This window comes from Homo sapiens, chromosome 12 (assembly GCF_000001405.40).
Source record: "Homo sapiens chromosome 12, GRCh38.p14 Primary Assembly".
NCBI lineage: Eukaryota > Metazoa > Chordata > Mammalia > Primates > Hominidae > Homo > Homo sapiens.
Window position 1 is genome coordinate 92293279 of NC_000012.12, and position 18004 is coordinate 92311282.

At 39.2% G+C, this 18004-nt stretch overlaps 1 long non-coding RNA gene across 2 annotated transcripts in view, besides 2 other annotated features; it reads right to left on the reverse strand.

Moving 5' to 3' along the window:
* LINC02391 (long intergenic non-protein coding RNA 2391) overlaps window positions 1-18004 on the reverse strand; it is a 104570-nt gene that overhangs the window by 34016 nt on the left and 52550 nt on the right. The gene's annotated exons all lie outside the window — the stretch shown is intronic.
* Window positions 4704-4793: an enhancer, noted in NCBI's record as "active region_6728". NCBI's record gives its function as "activates an Ori minimal core promoter by ATAC-STARR-seq in GM12878 lymphoblastoid cells {active_cell/tissue: GM12878}" and the evidence as "EXISTENCE:reporter gene assay evidence [ECO:0000049][PMID:35858748]".
* Window positions 4824-4873: an enhancer, noted in NCBI's record as "active region_6729". NCBI's record gives its function as "activates an Ori minimal core promoter by ATAC-STARR-seq in GM12878 lymphoblastoid cells {active_cell/tissue: GM12878}" and the evidence as "EXISTENCE:reporter gene assay evidence [ECO:0000049][PMID:35858748]".

Sequence of the window (18004 nt, forward strand, 5' to 3'; positions counted from 1 at the left end):
CATCCCGGCTAACATGGTGAAACCCCATCTCTACTAAAAATACAAAAAATTAGCCGGGCGTGGTGGCCGGCGCCTGTAGTCCCAGCTACTCGGGAGGCTGAGGCAGGAGAATGGCGTGAACCCGGAAGGCGGAGCTTGCAGTGAGCGGAGATCGCGCCACAGCACTCCCGCCTGGGCGACAGAACGAGACTCCGTCTCAAAAAAAAAAAAAAAATTGCCATTGGCTGGGCACAGTGGCTCACATCTGTAATCTCACCACTTTGGAAGGCCAAGGCTGGAGGATTGCTGAAGCCCAGGAATCTGAGACAAGCCTGGGCAACATAGTGAGACCCCATCTCTCTAAAAAAGAAACAAAAATAAAATTAGCCAGGTGTAGTGGCATGCTCCTTATAGTCCCAGCTACTCGGGGCTGAGGCAGAAGAATTTTTTGAGTCCAGGAGTTGGAGGCTGCAGTGAGCTATTGTCACATCACTGCACTCCAGCCTGGGTGACAAAGCAAGACCCCGTCTCAAAAAAAAAAAAAAAAAAAAAAAAAAAAGAAGAAGAGGAAGAAGACGAAGAAGAAAAAAGAAAAATTGCCATAAACTTTTTCTTTTCTTTGGCTTTTACCTGAATGTTCTCCTTTGCTTAGCCTCAGTTGGTAACCCTGAACCCCAGTAATGACCTTTACCCACTTCATGTGCATTCTAAGCTGACTTTTGATTCAGACTCATGCCACCCTAGACTCTACTTGTCAGTATAGGGAGTTTATCAAACTTTCTTGAAGGACTGAGTCCACAAAGAAACTAGGAAAAAAAATTCTCAGTTCTAAGAGCTGAGACTAGGTTTCCAAGACGATTACCAATTCCTTTCCACAAAGAATGCTGGTTTTCCTCAAAGATCAATGAGCAAATTTGATCACTGGCAGTAAGTTGATCTTTGGTATAGCATCTCTTGGGGTCTCCATAATTCTCAAAGAAAGATCTTTAAAAAGCAATACTTTATGTATCCATTCATGTATTTTTTAAATGGGTGGTTATAACAGGAAAGAGAAAGTGATTGCGGGTGAAATAAAGAGCTGTCAAATGGACAATGAATTTAAAGAATGATGCCAGGATCTCAGTGTAAGCTCTATTTTAAAATTTATACATATAAATATCCAAATACCTATTTTATGGAGAATTGGGTCCTCCTCTGTCCTCTCCTGATCATGTAACTTGAGTGAGTAACTTGCAGGCTCTGCACCTAAGGCAGAACAATTTAGAGGGATTTCATGGATTCACAATAGGTCCAAAGTATATTGCTTTCCACTACGCTGGGTAATCATTCATTCATTCATTCAACTTATATAGATGCTGTTGATGCCTGGCCATATCCCCTTGTCGTTGCCACTTTAGTGCATGCCTGTGGGACTTCTAACTTTCAGAACCTGCATTTCTTTGCCTGAGCCCTTTCTCTGGCCCAAAAGTTGCTTGACTGCTCCATGGAGCAGGCTGAAAGCACTGAGAATTAGCATCCTCCCACCCTACCCCAGAAGCCCTCAATCAGTGAGTGATGGAACTGGTATGTAAATATCCACTGAATGGGATAACTCTGGAGTGTGTGTTAATATTGGTTCCCCAGTAAGAATGAGCTCCAGCGGCCCACTCTTTCCTGACTGCCTTCCCTTCTGTGCTCACTAACGCACTTTCCTACTGTGCTGTTATCTTTATCTCCAGAGTAAACTTCTTATACTTGAGCCATTGTTTTGGGTCTGCTTCTGTATACAACTAGGATACAACTGACCAGCATTTACTGAGCTTCTACTGTGAGTTCAGTATTTAGTTGGGGAGAAGTACATCTGAATGAATAATTACCAAGTGATAATTACAATGATAGATATCCACACAGGGTTTTTCAGAGCATGCAGGAAGGAATTCACCTGGTTTTGTGGAGACTTTAGTGATAGAGGAGCTGGGCAGAGATGTGAGGTCAGATAATTGTGCAAAATCACTGTTGTCTTTACATCCAGCTGCAGAACCTTTAGACACTTCAAAGTCATTACGTCTCAACTGAACACACGATCACAACAAACTTTTCTTCTTGTGTATCATTTCCTGATTAATGGCATCTTCATTCACTTAGTTATTCAAGTTGGAAATATTTGCATTATCTTTCTTATCAGCCACATCACAAAACTGAAATGTTTCTTATAAAAAAATTAACCCTACACAGCTCAGTGTCACCTCGATGATCACACTGGTCTCTTTTTCCAAGCATGACAAGTACATATTCTCCTAAGGGGATATAACATTTTTATGTCCCTTGCAACATGAGCAGCCCTCAGCAGTCATGTTCTGTGCCCTACAAACCCGTCCTACTGAGCCACAGATGATTATGCTGAGGATTGTCACCTTCCTCGTGGACAGCAACCCACAGACTGGCCAGCGACCTATTAGAAAGCATGGCATGAAGAGATGGGATGGGCCCATTGGACTCTTTCTCTTGGAATTTCAAACAGTAAATACTGAGAGGATGAGGCAATAGAGTGGGAGTTAAAGCAGAAGAATGCTGTGAGACAGAATCATGGCCCTGAGGAATGATGGGAAAGTGAAGTTCTAAGGGAGTAAAAATTTTGAGTTGGAAGAAAGTATGAGGGAGATACAGAAGACAGAGGAAGCCAGTGAATGAGGAGAAAGGTGAGAAGCAGGTGCAGAAACAGTGCCGATGAAATGCCAGTGGTGGAACTCCCAAGTGAAGGTGCTGGCAACCTGGCTCCTCTGTGATTCCAGCTCTTCCTGGGGCTGGGTTTCCACACAAATACCCTGTGTGGATGTCTATCATTGTCATGATCACTTTCTAATTATCTATTCACATGTGGTTCTCCCCAGCTGAATACTGAACTCACAGTAGAAGCTCAATACATAGATGTCCCTACAACCAATGAATATTTTGCATATTTATCCTGACAACAAACCTATTATTTTTACAATTAACAACACTAATCGAGAAACTCCTAAATTTTCCCTGCCCCCTATCCTGTTTGTCTCCTACCAAATACCCCATTGCCATCTGAATGATCTACCTAAAATGCAAATTTAATCACCTAACTCCCCTGTACCTCCGCTCTGTACTCACAGGGCACCTAAATAGGTGCATTCTCTCCACCTTGGTGTCTTGTGCCTGCTCTCTTCTCTGCCTGGAATTCTTTCTCTCCCTTGACTGCTTTACCTGTGGTATTGTCTACCTATTAAACTGTATATCATTCTACAAGATCTGATCTAGATCTTCATCTTGGAAGCCTTCTATGGCCTCCCAAGGAGAACTGAGCTCTTCTACCTTTGCGCCTTTACTGTGACAGGGGCTATTTAAGCAACTGTTTGTTTATATTACTTATACTTTTATCAGTATTTCTCAAAATATGATCCAAAGAACAATTACTTCAGAAATACCTGCCTATAAAAATGCAAAGTCTTCATCCTCATTTTATTTTTACTATTTATTTATTTATTTATTTATTTATTTTTGAGACGGAGTTTGGCTGTTGTCATCCAGGCTGGAGTGCAATGGTGCGATCTTGGCTCACTGCAACCTCCGCCTCCCGTGTTCCTTGTCCTCATTTTAAATAGGCATCCCTGGGACCTCTGGGGTTACTAAAGTTTGGAAACCACCCCATTGAACTTTAAACTCCTCAAGGGCAGGCATCATCTATTACTCTTCCTTGTATTACCTCTATCTGGCACGTGGTAGGTAATGAACTGAAAAACAGTTCATTGCTTTTGAGCCACGGGTTAGCCTTCTGTAACTCCTGCTATGTGTAACCTTTTCAAACAAACAAACAAAAAAATTGAGACAGGGTCTCATTCTGTTACCCAGGCTGGAGTGCAGTGGCATAATCACAGCTAAAGTGATCTCCCCACAGCCTCCCGAGTAGCTGGGACTACAGGTACATATCACCATGCCCAGCTAATTTTTGTATTTTTTGTAGAGATAGGGTTTTGCCATGTTGCCCAGGCTGGTCTCGAACTCCTTGGCTCAAGAGATCCACCTGCCTGGGCTGGGATTACAGGCATGAGCCACTGCTTCTGGCCTTAGGTGTAACCTTTTACGAATGCAGGAGCTCAGAATCCAGCCTTTTTCACCACCCTATCTACCCTACCCCAGATCCTAACCCAGGGCCCTGGCACATGATGGACACTTAATAAACACTTTTTCACTGAGAAAAAGATGAAAGAAAAGATGGTCTACAGAAGCTGAGTGCTGTGCAGCAGGGCAGAAATGCAGCCAAAGCATCAATAAGATTAGCACAAGGACTGTTCAGTTACTCAGGAGGAGATGCTAAGTAAGAGCAGGAGCTGGCAATGCTCTGCTGTTCCTTTGTAGAAATCCTTGATGTGGGCTGTGAAATGTCAAATCCAGATTTGATTAAGCGCAACTCCAAATCCCTAAGGCAAGTGTGTATCCACGGTCTTAATGTAATTATTGGAGCCACCTCCGTCTGCTACATACTTTCAAAAGGGCTGAACTAGCACCCCATCCATTGATACCGACTGCTACAAAATGAGGCCTGCAATTAATTCATCACGTCCCAGGCAGATAATGCCTAAGAAGCTTCATCTGGCTCCTTCCTGAAAATTGAAGCATTAAATTGAACAAACAAACAAAAAATCCCTCTCATCTGCTGAAAATTCAGGAGGAAGGGCGGGTCCTAACAGCCACAGTGAAAATCAAAGTTTTGCTTCTTTTGTTGTCTGTTTTGGAACTTTCCACTTCCTCCTTCAAATGATAACCTATCAACTTTCAGTTCAACTATATTTTAAATTTTTTAAGGCAGAAGCCAATAAACAACACGAACTGTTACAAGGGCAACGGACTTCTAGTAGAATGAGTCAGTAGATACAAGTGGGGAACTTGGCTTCCTTTGCTTATACTCACTTGAGGTTTGGGCAAAAACATCAGGCCAAAACCTCGTCTGGATTCAGAGTAGGCACATTCAGGTCTATCAGATTAAACCCAAATGCCACAGCTTCACTGGAGCAGCCCAGATATTTCCCCACTGCATTCTCAGAGGGAAGAGGGATGAGGGCATCTGCTCCCAAGCTCAACCACAACCCAGAGCTCCACTTTGTTATGTGAAATTCAGAACACATTTGTTCCCGCTCTCTTTCTTTTTCTTTCAAAATTTTCTCCTGCCCTTTACTTAGGGTCTGGACGGAATCAAAATCCTGAGAGCCAAAGACACCAGGGGAAAGGCTGCTTTATTGTGAAATCCAATCTCAGTGAAAGCAAGATGGATCAGCAATCTTTTGACCTCACCCAGTGGCAAAGTCTAAACTGATCCACATGGTTTAGAGAACTCGGAAAAGATCTGATGAGTTGTCACACCGCTAACACTTGAGTTTTGTTTGTCATCCTATATAGAAATGATTCCAGAGTTTTTTCAAATTTCTGGAGCTTCTTAAAGCAAGACCAACAAGTGTCTGGGTGACCTTAGAACCAATCTATGTTTCTGGGACTCTTGAGATCAGCCCGGGCCAGATATTTAGAGGCTATAATGTCATACCACTAACACTTGAGTTTTGTTTGTCATCCTATATAGAAATGATTCCAGAGTTTTTTCAAATTTCTGTAGTTTCTTAAAGCAAGACCAACGAGTTTCTGGGTGACCTTGGAACCAATCCATGTTTCTGGGATTCTTGAGGTCAGCCCAGGCCAGATATTTAGAGGCTATAATGGACACTATTGGATCAATCTGCACTAGACTCACCACAGGAGATAGATCATTTCCAAACCAACGTCTAGCTTGGGGGAGGCGGGAAGTAAGTGGATTTTCACTATCTTTTGGTTCCCATTTCAAGAGCTAATCCCAGACATGGCAGTGACATTAAGGCTTGAATTCTTGCAAAAGCTGCCACTAGAAGGACTGGCTTAAATATCATAGCAGTTTTTATGCACAAATTATATTAGACGTAGATCGTACCTTTCAGGAACTTCCTTGCCTAAAAGCACCCATTGCCTCATTCTCTCTAGACCTACATATGAAATCTAAACTCACATAAATCCCTTCCAGCTTGCCCTCATCTCCCCTTTAATCTTCTCCCTATCCTTGCCATGCATTCTACCCTCTGGCCCGAGGACTGACAATTTTTTTTCTGCAAAGAGAGAGCCAAATAGTAAATATTTTGGGCCTCTAGCTCATGTAGTCTCTGTCATACCTACTCAACTCTGCTGTTGTAGACAAAAGCAGTCATAGACAATATATGCACAAATGAGCATGGCTATGTTTCAATAAAACTTTATTTACAAAAACAGTGGCTGGGCATAGTGGCTCATGCCTGTAATCTTAGCACTTTGGGAGGCCATAGTGGGTAGATCACTTGAGCCCAGGAGTTGGTGACTAACCTGGGCAACATGCAGAAACTCTGTCTCTACTAAAAATATTAAAGGTAGTGGCAAAAACCGCAACTGCTTTTGCACCAACCTAATAGAAAAATTAGCTGGGCATGGTGGTGTGTGCCTGTGGTCCCAGCTAGTTGAAGAGCTGAGGTAGGAGGATGGCTTGAGCCTGGGAGTTGGAGATTGCAGTGAGCTGAGATCACGAGACTGCGCTCCAGCCTGGGAGATAGAAAGAGACCCTGTTTCAAAAAAAGAAGAGGAAGAAGGAGGAGGAGGAGGAGGAGGGGGAGGAAGAGGAGAAGGAGGAGGAGGGGAAGAAAAAAGGCACAGTAAAGAGAAAGAGGTGTTATTTTAGAGTGCTTAGGAAAGGCCACTTTGATGAGGCCATATGGGAGCAAAGATAAACATAAAGCATGAGTTCAAGCTATGTGGATATGACAGGTAGGGAAAATATTCTAGGCAGAGAGAAAAGCAAGCGCACATGTTTGGTATATTGGAAGAAGAGAAAGGAGGCCAGTTGGGTTGGAGTCCAGGGAATGAATGGAAGTTGAGACCAAAGAGGTAGATGTGGTAAAATTTTGTATGTCCTTTCAGGCCGTGTAAAAGAATTTGATTTTTATTCTTAATGAGACTGGAAACCATTGAAAGAAGAGTGATATGATCTACCTTCTTGGTTACTGGGATGACCCTAGCAGCCATGTGAAATAGACTTTAGGAAGGTAGGAGTAAAAGCAGAGAGACCTAATAAGAGGCTATTGTACTAATCCACATGACAAATGATGTCCAGGGTGATCAGAGCAGAGGGGCTAAGAGTTGTCAGATTCTGAATATATATTGAAGGCAGAGATGAAAAGTAGAGTGTGAAGGAAGTATGGAGCCAAGGAGGAGCCAAAATTTTTTACCTGATTAAGTAGGAAAATGTAGTTTTCCTTTATTGAGATGGTGAAGACTATAGAAGAAACAGATGAGTGGAAGTAATGAAGATTTTTTTTTTAATGATGTTATGTTGGACCTCTCAGTGGAAATGTTAAGTAGGTAGTTAAGTAAGTGCTTTGGAGTTCAGTAGCAATGTCATGGGTAGAGGTAAATAGTTGGGAGTTACCTGAAATAGATGGTACTTAAAGACACGAAATGAGGTTGGAGAATCACTTGGGAGAAGTGAGAAAAGAAGAGATCAGGGACTGAGCTCTGGGGCACTCAAATGTTTTGAGAGTGGGAAGATGAAGAGCTAACAACAACAGCAACAAACTTATAAAGAGTGACTAGTGAGATAGAAAGTGAAGTGAGAGTGACCTCTCAGGGGCTAAGTGAAGAAAGTGTCTCAAGAAGGAGGAAATGAACAACTTTGGGAAGTATTGCTAACATATTGAGCAAGGTAAGGACAGAGACATGACCCAGACTGAGCAGCATGGGAGCCACTGTTGACTTTGACAAGAACAGTTTGAGGAGGGGTAAAGATAAAAGCCTGTGTAGACTGTATATAACAGAGAATGCGAAGGGCCTAAATGGTATCTTCGGTCTGGGATCTCAAAATACTTTATACTCTATGATAACATTTTTCATAATGAGAATTATTGACTTACATAGTGATCTTAAGAGCAATTTAAATGTTGAATCATTTATAAAATTGTTAATCATCTTTTACTTGTTTTTATTTTATTTTTGTTTTTCACATTCTACAACACAACACTAGGCACATAGTACATACTCATTAAATGTTTGTTAAATGAATATGAAATTGTAATTTAAGAAGGAAAGATTTCATATAAATGAATATGAATGCCATTTTGACTGCAAAAAGTGACACTTAAAAGCAGAAGTTTAAAAGGGTGGAATGAGTACTATGTGCTATATAGCATTGTGACACTATGGATATTTGGTTATACCCTGATCATGTTACTCCTCTTTCAGTTCTTTAAATTATACATATATCATCCTGTATAGTATATAGTGAGATCACTCAGGGGAACTAGTCCAATTTTACTAAAAATGATAGTGAGGCTCTGGAGGAGATAGGAAATTTGCCCTCATTCTGTAGATTGCGTATACTTGGTAAAAGAGTCCACAAAATTTGTATCACTGCTTTCTTTTGAGGTTCCAATGTTACTAATTCACCATAATTGTAAGAAAACTCCAAAAATGTTCACTTCCTTATCTTTTAGTTAAAGATCCACTCAAAAAAGTGAGAATTACTACAATGAGTTACTTTGGGATCTGAATAACATTGGATTGATTAATTCTCTCTGTTGCAATGATTATTTGAGCATTCAGTCCTTAGAGTTATGACTATTAAAGCACAGAAGCACAAATTATTACATGATGATTAAAGTGTCTTTGTGGATATACTGCTCAATAAAATTAACACTGAGATCTGAAACACCATGTTCAAAAGTCAAATGATTTTTCCAAGCGGAAAAGGGAGCCTCATTTTGGCAGATAAAAATTGCGATACTTCTATCTCTGAGTAAGGATTAGTGTAGTCAGTTATTGAAAATTAGTGATCTGACTATATTGTATTTATTTAATATAGGAAGAAGTCTTTATAAATGTTGGGTGAGTCATTTCATAAGACTAAAGCCAAGCAAAATTAGAGCCCTCCTGGTTGAAGGTATTTTTATTGCAATGAGAAGGTTTCTTTCTGAGTATTAGACATACAAGTGTGGTCTAACTTTGGCATGGAAAGTAAGTCATGAATTCTAAGGCAGAGACTCTTAATTTCTTGAATATGTAATGCCATAGACATATTTAGACACATTTACTATAAGATGCCAAAAACATACGCAATCAAGGAAATTAAGTAGAGGCAACTGAATATTTTTTTCCTTTACATTCCACTTGTCAATGATCTCAAGGACCAAATACCTGTTCTTTATACAAAGGGCATATACAAAGGTTTTACAGAAAAATAACCTTATAGAAAAACTCTTATGAGTTACTCTTTAGTCTCTAGTGAGTTTCCTGTTTTGTAGGTCATAAATTTAATAGGCTGTAATGCTATTCAAACAACACAGATACTTAACATACCATGAAAAGCCCATAAGCTATGGCAAATTATGAAAATATCTCAATGCTGTGGTCACAAAAGTGAACAATCTTCTTGACAGGAACTTCAAAGGTAAAATGAAATTACATTTCCCACTTATTTCTGAGGCATTGACCGGTAACCTTAGTCTCCTGTGATTTCACCCATGCTGCTTCTAGAGATGATGTTCTATCCAGCCAGTCAACAATTCTCAAGCGGAGTGGCTCTAGAAACTCAGCTCTTGAAAACATCACGGAGCTTTATCAGTGATAAGGCCAAGAGGTTGCAACTACTATTATCTTTGGACACACAAAAGAATCACCTGGTCCAGGTCAGAGAGCACTTTTCTGGTGTTCTTGGTGTCAGTATAATGTGCCATTTAATTAGGAGTCTGGTTTAAAGAGCGCACCTAGCAAAAAAGCAATCAAATGGCAAGCACACATTATCATGATTAATTTTGATAAATACAAATAACAGAGATTTTTCATTGTCATCTAATAATTATAATGATATATTCATTTTCATTTTAGAATTTGAAAAATACACAAAAAGATATAGAGAATACAATATGACAGTCAGCACTCAGCAGGAGGTTGTACAAACATGAATGAAGGAAGCTTCTGTTCTGTCTTTATATTTCTTATTTTTATACTTTTTAAGGGAAAGGGAAAGTTTAAGAAATTTTATTTGTTAGAATCTAGCATTTTATACTTTCTCTACTAAAAGTAACAAGTCAATTATCTTCTCCAAAGAAATTATGACCACCAGTTGATAAAGGGGATCAGATGTTCACTCAGTGAATTTTTAGTGATTACAGACAGGCACTGTTTGCATCAAATTCAACAATTGGCTTTTAAATATGGCATTTCCTGTAATCACTCTTGAAAACAGGGTAACAAGATAGCATGCATTCTGTATTAAATGGTTTCTCTGCAAACCAGGGTGTTCTCTGCCCTGCCTTGCCCCAGGTTTGAACAGTTCTGAACAGCCACCCTTCCTTTCTCCCCACCATTGTTCACATTCTATGCATGAATAAGAAATGCTCTCATTTCTCTCTTTCCTTGTTCTTTTGTTTCATCCTTCCAGTCTTCCTTTCCTCCTTCAAATATTTTCAAACTGGTAGTATGTTTTTTGAAAGGCAGTTTAGTATAGTGGTCAGTATAAAGGCTTGGAGCTAAAGAGCACTGGGTTTCAGTCTCAGGTCTGAGACTTGCTAATGGTGCTCCCTTGGGCAAGTCATTATACTTAACTCCAAGCATCAGATTTTTCACATGTTAAATGGTGATATCCATAATTACTTCCATGGTTATTGTGGAGACTAGGATAATAAAATTAAGAGACTGACCGGAGTACAGCATGAGTCATAGATACTATTATTGAAAAAAATTGACTTTGTAAAAAAACATAGGAAACGTTAAAATTATTTCATAGAAATAATATTTGTAAGGACATAATGGAGCCACTAACACACTGCAAAATGAGCTCAAGACTTTAATAGAATGGAATACAGACCTTTGACACCCAACTCCAGGCAAACCTCATTTAGCACGGACACCCAGAAAAGACTGAGATAGAAAAAATATATATATATATAAACAGCTGCTAAGCTGGCATTTAAAAATTGTATATTTCTGCTCTTCATTTGATCCAAGAGCATATATTGGAGAGAATATTTGGCCTAACAAGCTGAGAATGGGTGGTATGGGTCAATTAAGGTTATAAAATAACACAAAGAGTAAATCCTTATCAGAGCTTTCTGCTTTACAATAGATGAAAAATCGAAGAGAGATTTAATCAGCTTACATGGGCCTGGGTGTCTCTTCCTTACTCTTACAAGAAGGAATCTTGCTTTATTCTGGCTATTTCCTGAAGAGAGCCCTTCTCCCTCCCTCAAGTATTCAGGCTAATTACAATTGGAGAGGGAGTTTCCAGGCTGAATAAGAAATCAAAAGGGAAGGGAAGGGGGGCGGCAGTGGTGTGGATTTCAGAGAAAAAAATAACTTAAGAAAAAGTATGTTCTCAGAGGGGGGAAAATTAGAGAATTAGGTCACTGATTTGGAGCCAGGAAAAATCCACATAAGTGGAAATTGGAGCAATGAAAGTATTTCATATTAACACATGCAAAGGCTGAATGTGCCCAGCCCAGGGGATGTTCTTCTCCTTCCTGGACAGTGGCTAGAGGCTGAAAGACCTCTAGGCTTTTCTATGTCTTATTCATTCGCTAATCAGCACCATTCAGCCAACAGCACACGTGGTCATATATGCAGTGCCCTGGAAAACTAGAGGTCCACATAGCAATGGTTATAATCAAAACCACTGGAGACGCTCATTTCAGCTTCTAGAATATCAAGCTTCAAAGGCAGACATGCCTGCAATGAAAACCAGCACTTTCTTTTGCTTTCTCTCTTTTCCCTTTTTTTCTTTTCTTTTTTAAGTTCTGTTAAGTCTAGAGTTTTAGATTCAAGTATTTGACAATTATACCTCAACAGAGACAGAATACATTTTGCCTCACGCAAAGATACAAATGGTTAAAAGGGCAGGCAAAGTGTCATATGTCAGCAGACACTAGTTGAGGTTAAACTCTGCTGATGTGACTAGAATATTGACATCTCAGTTAAAGTCAATATCTGGAAATTGGTGATGTGGCTTGGAATACATATCTCCTTAATGACTTTCCAGTAAAATATGAAAATACCAAATAGTACTCCACATATCTGAGAATCGTAAACTCCTTTCCCTCATGCTTTCACCAAAAACTGTCAAACCTTATTGTTATCCAAATTTTAGTTGAAAATGGAATGAAGCACAAAATACAATCCTAAAAATCTTGCCCCCCACCAAGAAAAGCTGTACTTTCCCCTGGGCTGGGCACGTTCAGCCTTTGCATGTGTTAATATGAAATACTTTCATTGCTCCAATTTCCACTTTTGTGGGTTTTTCCTGGCTCCAAATTCCTTTAAGGCTAATTAGGTTGCAACTGAGGAATTACTGGGCCTAAATTTGGGGGTGAAGTCCTATTATATTGCTCAGGAAGAACAAGAGGAGTGCTCTTTTATTTGCCTGTTTATTCATTTGTCTCTGATTGCTGTGTTCTTCTTTACTTACCTTTCTGCAGCTTGCCCAACTTAATATGCATGTTGTAGTTGACTGGTAAGGGGCAATTTTCATTTTCTTTTGTTTATCTCACTAATCTGGGATATTAATGCCTTGCTAAAGTCTTATTACTCTGTTTTAGCTCAGTTTGACTTTCTAACTTGGTGTATAGCACTTATGATTCTGGCTAGATCAGTGATTTTGAACCCTAGTTCTATGTGACAATTTAAGGAAGAACTTTTGAAATACACCAATCCCTGGGCCCTGACCAATCAAGTAATATTATGTGGACCAGGGGTCTGGGAGCTAACCAGTACCCTTTAATACAAAAACGGCAAAACTCTGTCCCATCTGCTGTGTTAGATGTTTATTGCTGTGTAACAAACTGTCCCAATACTAATGGCTTAAAACAATGATGATTTACTATTTTCCATCATTCTGCGAGTCAGGGATTTGGGCAGGGCCTTAGCTGGCTGGTTCCATATGATGTCACCTAGAGTCATTCAGCTGCATTCAACAGTAACTGGATTGGGCCTGAAGGTCCAATAAGGCTTCACTCACTTGACTGGCACCTCAGTGATCTTCCACCTCCACTCTACGTGACTATGCTAGGCTTCCTTACAGTATGGTGATCTCAGGTTGGAAAGACATTTTAGATGATAGCTGGCTTCCAAAAGAAAGGACGCAAAAACTGCTGGCCCCTTCCAAGGCATAGCTTGAGAAAATCCTAAATCATTTCTTCCAATTTCTATTTGTCAAAGCAAGACCTGAGGCTAGGCCAGAAGAGGGGAAATCAACTCTTCCTCTTGAAATGAGGAGTAGCATGCACATACAAGGTCTGAGGAACTGCTGGTCACCACACTTTAAAGACTATAGAATACATGCCACCAGTTCCTGATCTCAAAGCCATGGCAGACATTTCTAACCCAACATGGTGGTTTCCCCTGTTGGTCCTGGGTATAGTTTGAGTTATTCTCAATACTACATGACATGGTTTGGCTGTGTCCCCACCCAAATCTCATCTTGAATTATAGCTCCCATAATCCCCACGTCTTGGAAAGGACCTGGTGGGAGGTTATTGAATCATGGGGGTGAGTTTTTCCCATGCTATTCTTGTGATAGTGAATACATCTCATGAGATCCGATGGTTTTATAAAAGGCAGTTCCCCTACACACTCTCTCTTGTTTGCCACATGTAAGACATGCCTTTGCTCCTCCTTTGCCTTCTGCCATGTTGTGAGGCCTCCCCAGCCATGTGGAACTGTGGGTTCATTAAACATCTTTTTCTTTATAACTTACTCAGTCTTGGATAAGTCTTTATTAGTAGCATGAGAACAGACTAATACACTGCACCTCAATGGTCACTGCCAGTAGATTGGAGTTGCCATGAAGGTTAAATTGTTTAACACATCTGCTCTATTGGAAAGAGCTGAAGTTCTATTCTCTCCCTGCTGTGGCTTATGGTCTTCTGAAAGACCAGGAAGGTGCCAGTAGGACTCATGGCCCTGCCTGTGAGGAAAGTCAGGCTCACGAGTTTTCACTGTAATCCTGTGAAGTAGGAATGGCAAGTTTTAAAAAAATTTTTTCCTGGTTTGCAAATGGAGAAATTGAGGTGGACTGAACTCAAGGCACCATTTTAGGTGCTACAGAGGACACAAAACTTACTTAGACATTATTGCAATTCTCAGTATCATTTTCTGGCAGAAGAAAGGCGTTTAAACAACTAACTCTAATACCTAACAGAATGAAATGAAGGTTGTCAGAGAAGTATGGACAAAATGATCCTGTAAGTCAAAGACAGGAAAAATTAAATCCAACAGGAGGGTCTGGCTGTATTTCATGGGGAACAAGGATGATAACAGGATAGATTCTTCAGGAAAAAATGATCTGAACATCAGAGAATTAAGAGAAACATTGGGAAAATAGAGCAAGTCATAATTGTTTTTTGTAAAAACATTTCCTTTATGATTATACTATAAAGAAAAAGATGTCATTTCATGCCATTATATATTTTGGTTGCCAAAATTATTCTCCTCCACCCCACAGAAAAAAAATTTTCTGGGTTAATTTATTCCTTTTTAGTGCTAAGCATTCCTGCGTAATTGTACATCTATACTATACTTTATATCTAATATTGTAAGTGTGTGTGTGTGTGTGTGTGTGTCTGTGTGTGTGTGTGTATTTCAGACAGGGTCTTTCTCTGTTACCCAGGCTGGAGTTCAGTGGCATGATTACAGCTCACCGCAACTTTGACCTCCCAGGCTCAAGCAATCTTCCTACCTCAGCTTCCCAAGTACCTGGGGCCACAGGTGCATGCCACCACACTCATTTAATTTTTTAAAAAAAATTTTGTAGAGACAGGGACTCACTGTGTTTTCCAGGCTGGTCTCAAACTCCTGAGCTCAAGCCATCTTCCTGCCTCAGCCTCCCAAAGTCCAAAGTCCTGGAATTATAGGTGTGAGCCACTGTGCTCAGCTAAAAAAATTCTGTATTTTAATAAAGTCAGTTTCATAATTTTAGTTTTGTTTTTCAAAATGAACATCCAATCAAACCTATTATATTTCACGATTTTACTATAAAATTTAAGACTTTGCTTTTAGTTAATTTATAAGTGACATTTTTCTGCTACCAATTATTTCTGAGTAATAAAATTAATGTATGAGAATTTACTATCATAGTGTGAATGCTTAATAAATGTTAATCATTTATTATTTTAAGTAAAATTGGTGTTTTAGAACAGCTTTAGATTTACAGAAAAATTATGAAGATAATACAGAATAGCCATATATAGTAGTCCCCTTTTATCTCTGGGGATGCATTCTAAGACCCCCATGAATGCCTGAAACTGCGGATAGTACCAAGCCCGATATATAGTTTTTTCCTGTATATACATACCTATGATAAATTTGAATTTATAAATTAGACACAGTAGGAAATCACCAAAAATAATAAAATAGAACAGTTATAACAATATACTGTCATAAAAGTTATGTGAATGTGGTCTCTCTCTCTCTCTTTCTCTCTCTGTCAAAATACTTAATGTTAATATTTTTGAACCACAGTTGACTGTAGGTAACTGAAACCATAGAGAGTGAAATTGCAGATAAGGGGGGAACTACTGTATTGGTTACAATTAATGAGCCAATATTGATACATTATTCTTAATGAATGTCCATACTTTGTTCAGATTTTCTTAGTCTTTATCTAAGGCTTTTTTCTGTTCCAGGATTCCATAGAAGATACCACACTACATTTAGTAGTCATGTCGCTTTAGGCTCCTCTTGGCTATGACAGTTACTCAGACTTTATTTTCATGACATTTGCAGCTTTAGAGAGCACTGGTCGGGTATTTTGGAGAATGTCCCTCAACTGGGATGTGTCTAATGTTTTTCTTATGATTATACTGGGATTATGGATTTTGAGAGGAAGGCTGCAGAGATAAAATGTCATTTTCATCACATCATATCAAAATTACATGCTATAGACATGGCATTCTTGATGTTAACCCTGATTACCTGGCTAAGGTGGTATTTGTCAGTTATTTCCATTATACATTTACTCCTTTTTCTCCCTTTCCAAACCTTGCTTTTTGGAAAGCAGTCACTATGCACCACCCACACTTAAGGAGGAGGAAATTATGCTCCACTTCCTTAAAGGCAGAATAACTACATAAATCATTTGGAAATCATCTGCATGGAAGATTTGTCTATATCTTTCTTCTTCTCCTCCCCCTCCCCATTTATTTGCTTATTTGTACCAGTATGGGCTCATGGATGTTTATTTTATATTTTGGGCTATCATTCAATAGTGCTTTGTTTTAATTGCTCAAATTGTTTCAGCTTTGGACATTGGGAGCTCTTTCAGTTGATTCTTCTTTCCTTTTAACACATTCTCATTCATGTAAGGATGCTTCTTGTTGATATGGTGCTTCGTTTGTTTGTTTGTTTTGAGCACTTCCTTACTTTCTGGCACCATGAGATGCTTCAAGCTCAGCTTGTACATTTCCTGCCCCCATCCTAGACCAACCATTTCTCCAAGGAGCTTTGGTTCTTTCTGTTGGAGAACAGCATCAGAAACCAGGATCTAGATGCAAGATGTGCTCATTCCTACTCTGTATTGTTGCCTCTAGGCCCCCTTAGCTGACAGAACAAGAAAATATGTGTGTATGTCAGCCCATGTATATTGATATATCTATAAACATTTCTATATGTAACTATCTACATCGGTATTAAGCTAAACATGAGTTCACACAGATGTCTCCAACTCTAAATCTGTTGCTACATAGATCATTCTGGCCTCCTCCCCTTACTCATCTGTAACCCCCCAATTTAACAGTGATAAAAGTAGCTTCAAATACCTGGCATCCATTTCCTTATTTCATTCATGTATACATGTATAGTGGCATCAGAATTGTTAACCAATACCTATCAAATAGAGCACAGTGCTTATGTATAATTTTTTTGCTTTAGTCATACAGACTTCACTCATTTCCAAAATTACTCAGTTCAGCATCCTTCCCCCAACCCCCTCAGTGAGGTTATTTCATGCATTTGTAATAAGCTAGGTTATTTTCTCATATTCTGCATTCCATTCAGCCTTCTAAATAATTTTTGTAATTTGCATACATTAACGGTCACTCTTTATGCTCTAAATTTCCATGAGTTTTGGCAAATGCATGGTATTATATAGTCATATTCACTATGCCACTATTATTTTTGTTTAACAAAGATTTATATGGTATTTACTATGGGATAGACCTTAGTCATTTCATTTCTATAGCAACCTTATTAGACAGATACCATTATCACATAATCTCTGCTTCAGGTACAAAAATTAAAGCATAGAGAGGTTAAGTAACCTCCTTAAGATCACAAAGCTAGCATGGGTAGACCTGGTTGAAAACCTAGGGCATTTGTCCTCCTAACCATTGTATTGTCCCACTTCCCGGGAGTCATGATTATTTCTTCTCCTACTTTACTCTCATGGTTTTCTTCTATTCATTTTTTCCCTCCTGAAAAAATGTTTCTTTTGCTACACACTGAATTTAACTCTTACCTGCTACAATTCTTTACTAGCCTTCTCAATTATTAGTGATTTCAGAAATTTTAGGAGTGAAGACAGATAGGAGCACCATGCTGAAATCACCCGACAAAAGCTGACAGTTACTCTGAAGCTACTAGCATGCTGTTCATGTAAGTGGATGCAGCTGACTTGCCTTTTCTGTTTTGGAATCAAAGGCGATTAAGTATCAAACTTGAAATCTAGAGGAAAGGCAATTTTAAAAGTTAATACAACCTTTCAGTCTTTTGCAAATGGTTTTCCTTTCCCTACCATTCTCAGGAAAAAAAAGAAAAGAAAAAAGAAAGAAAGAAAAACTCAAAAGTAGCCTATCTCTTTTAGAAACTCTAGAAGCTGTTGAAAAGTGGATCATATTTTGGAGAACTGGATTCTAATCACCTCTACGTATATTTGGGAGAAGACAGTGCCTATGTTGGAAATATTCATAAAAACTTTCAAGGTGATACAAGATCTGGA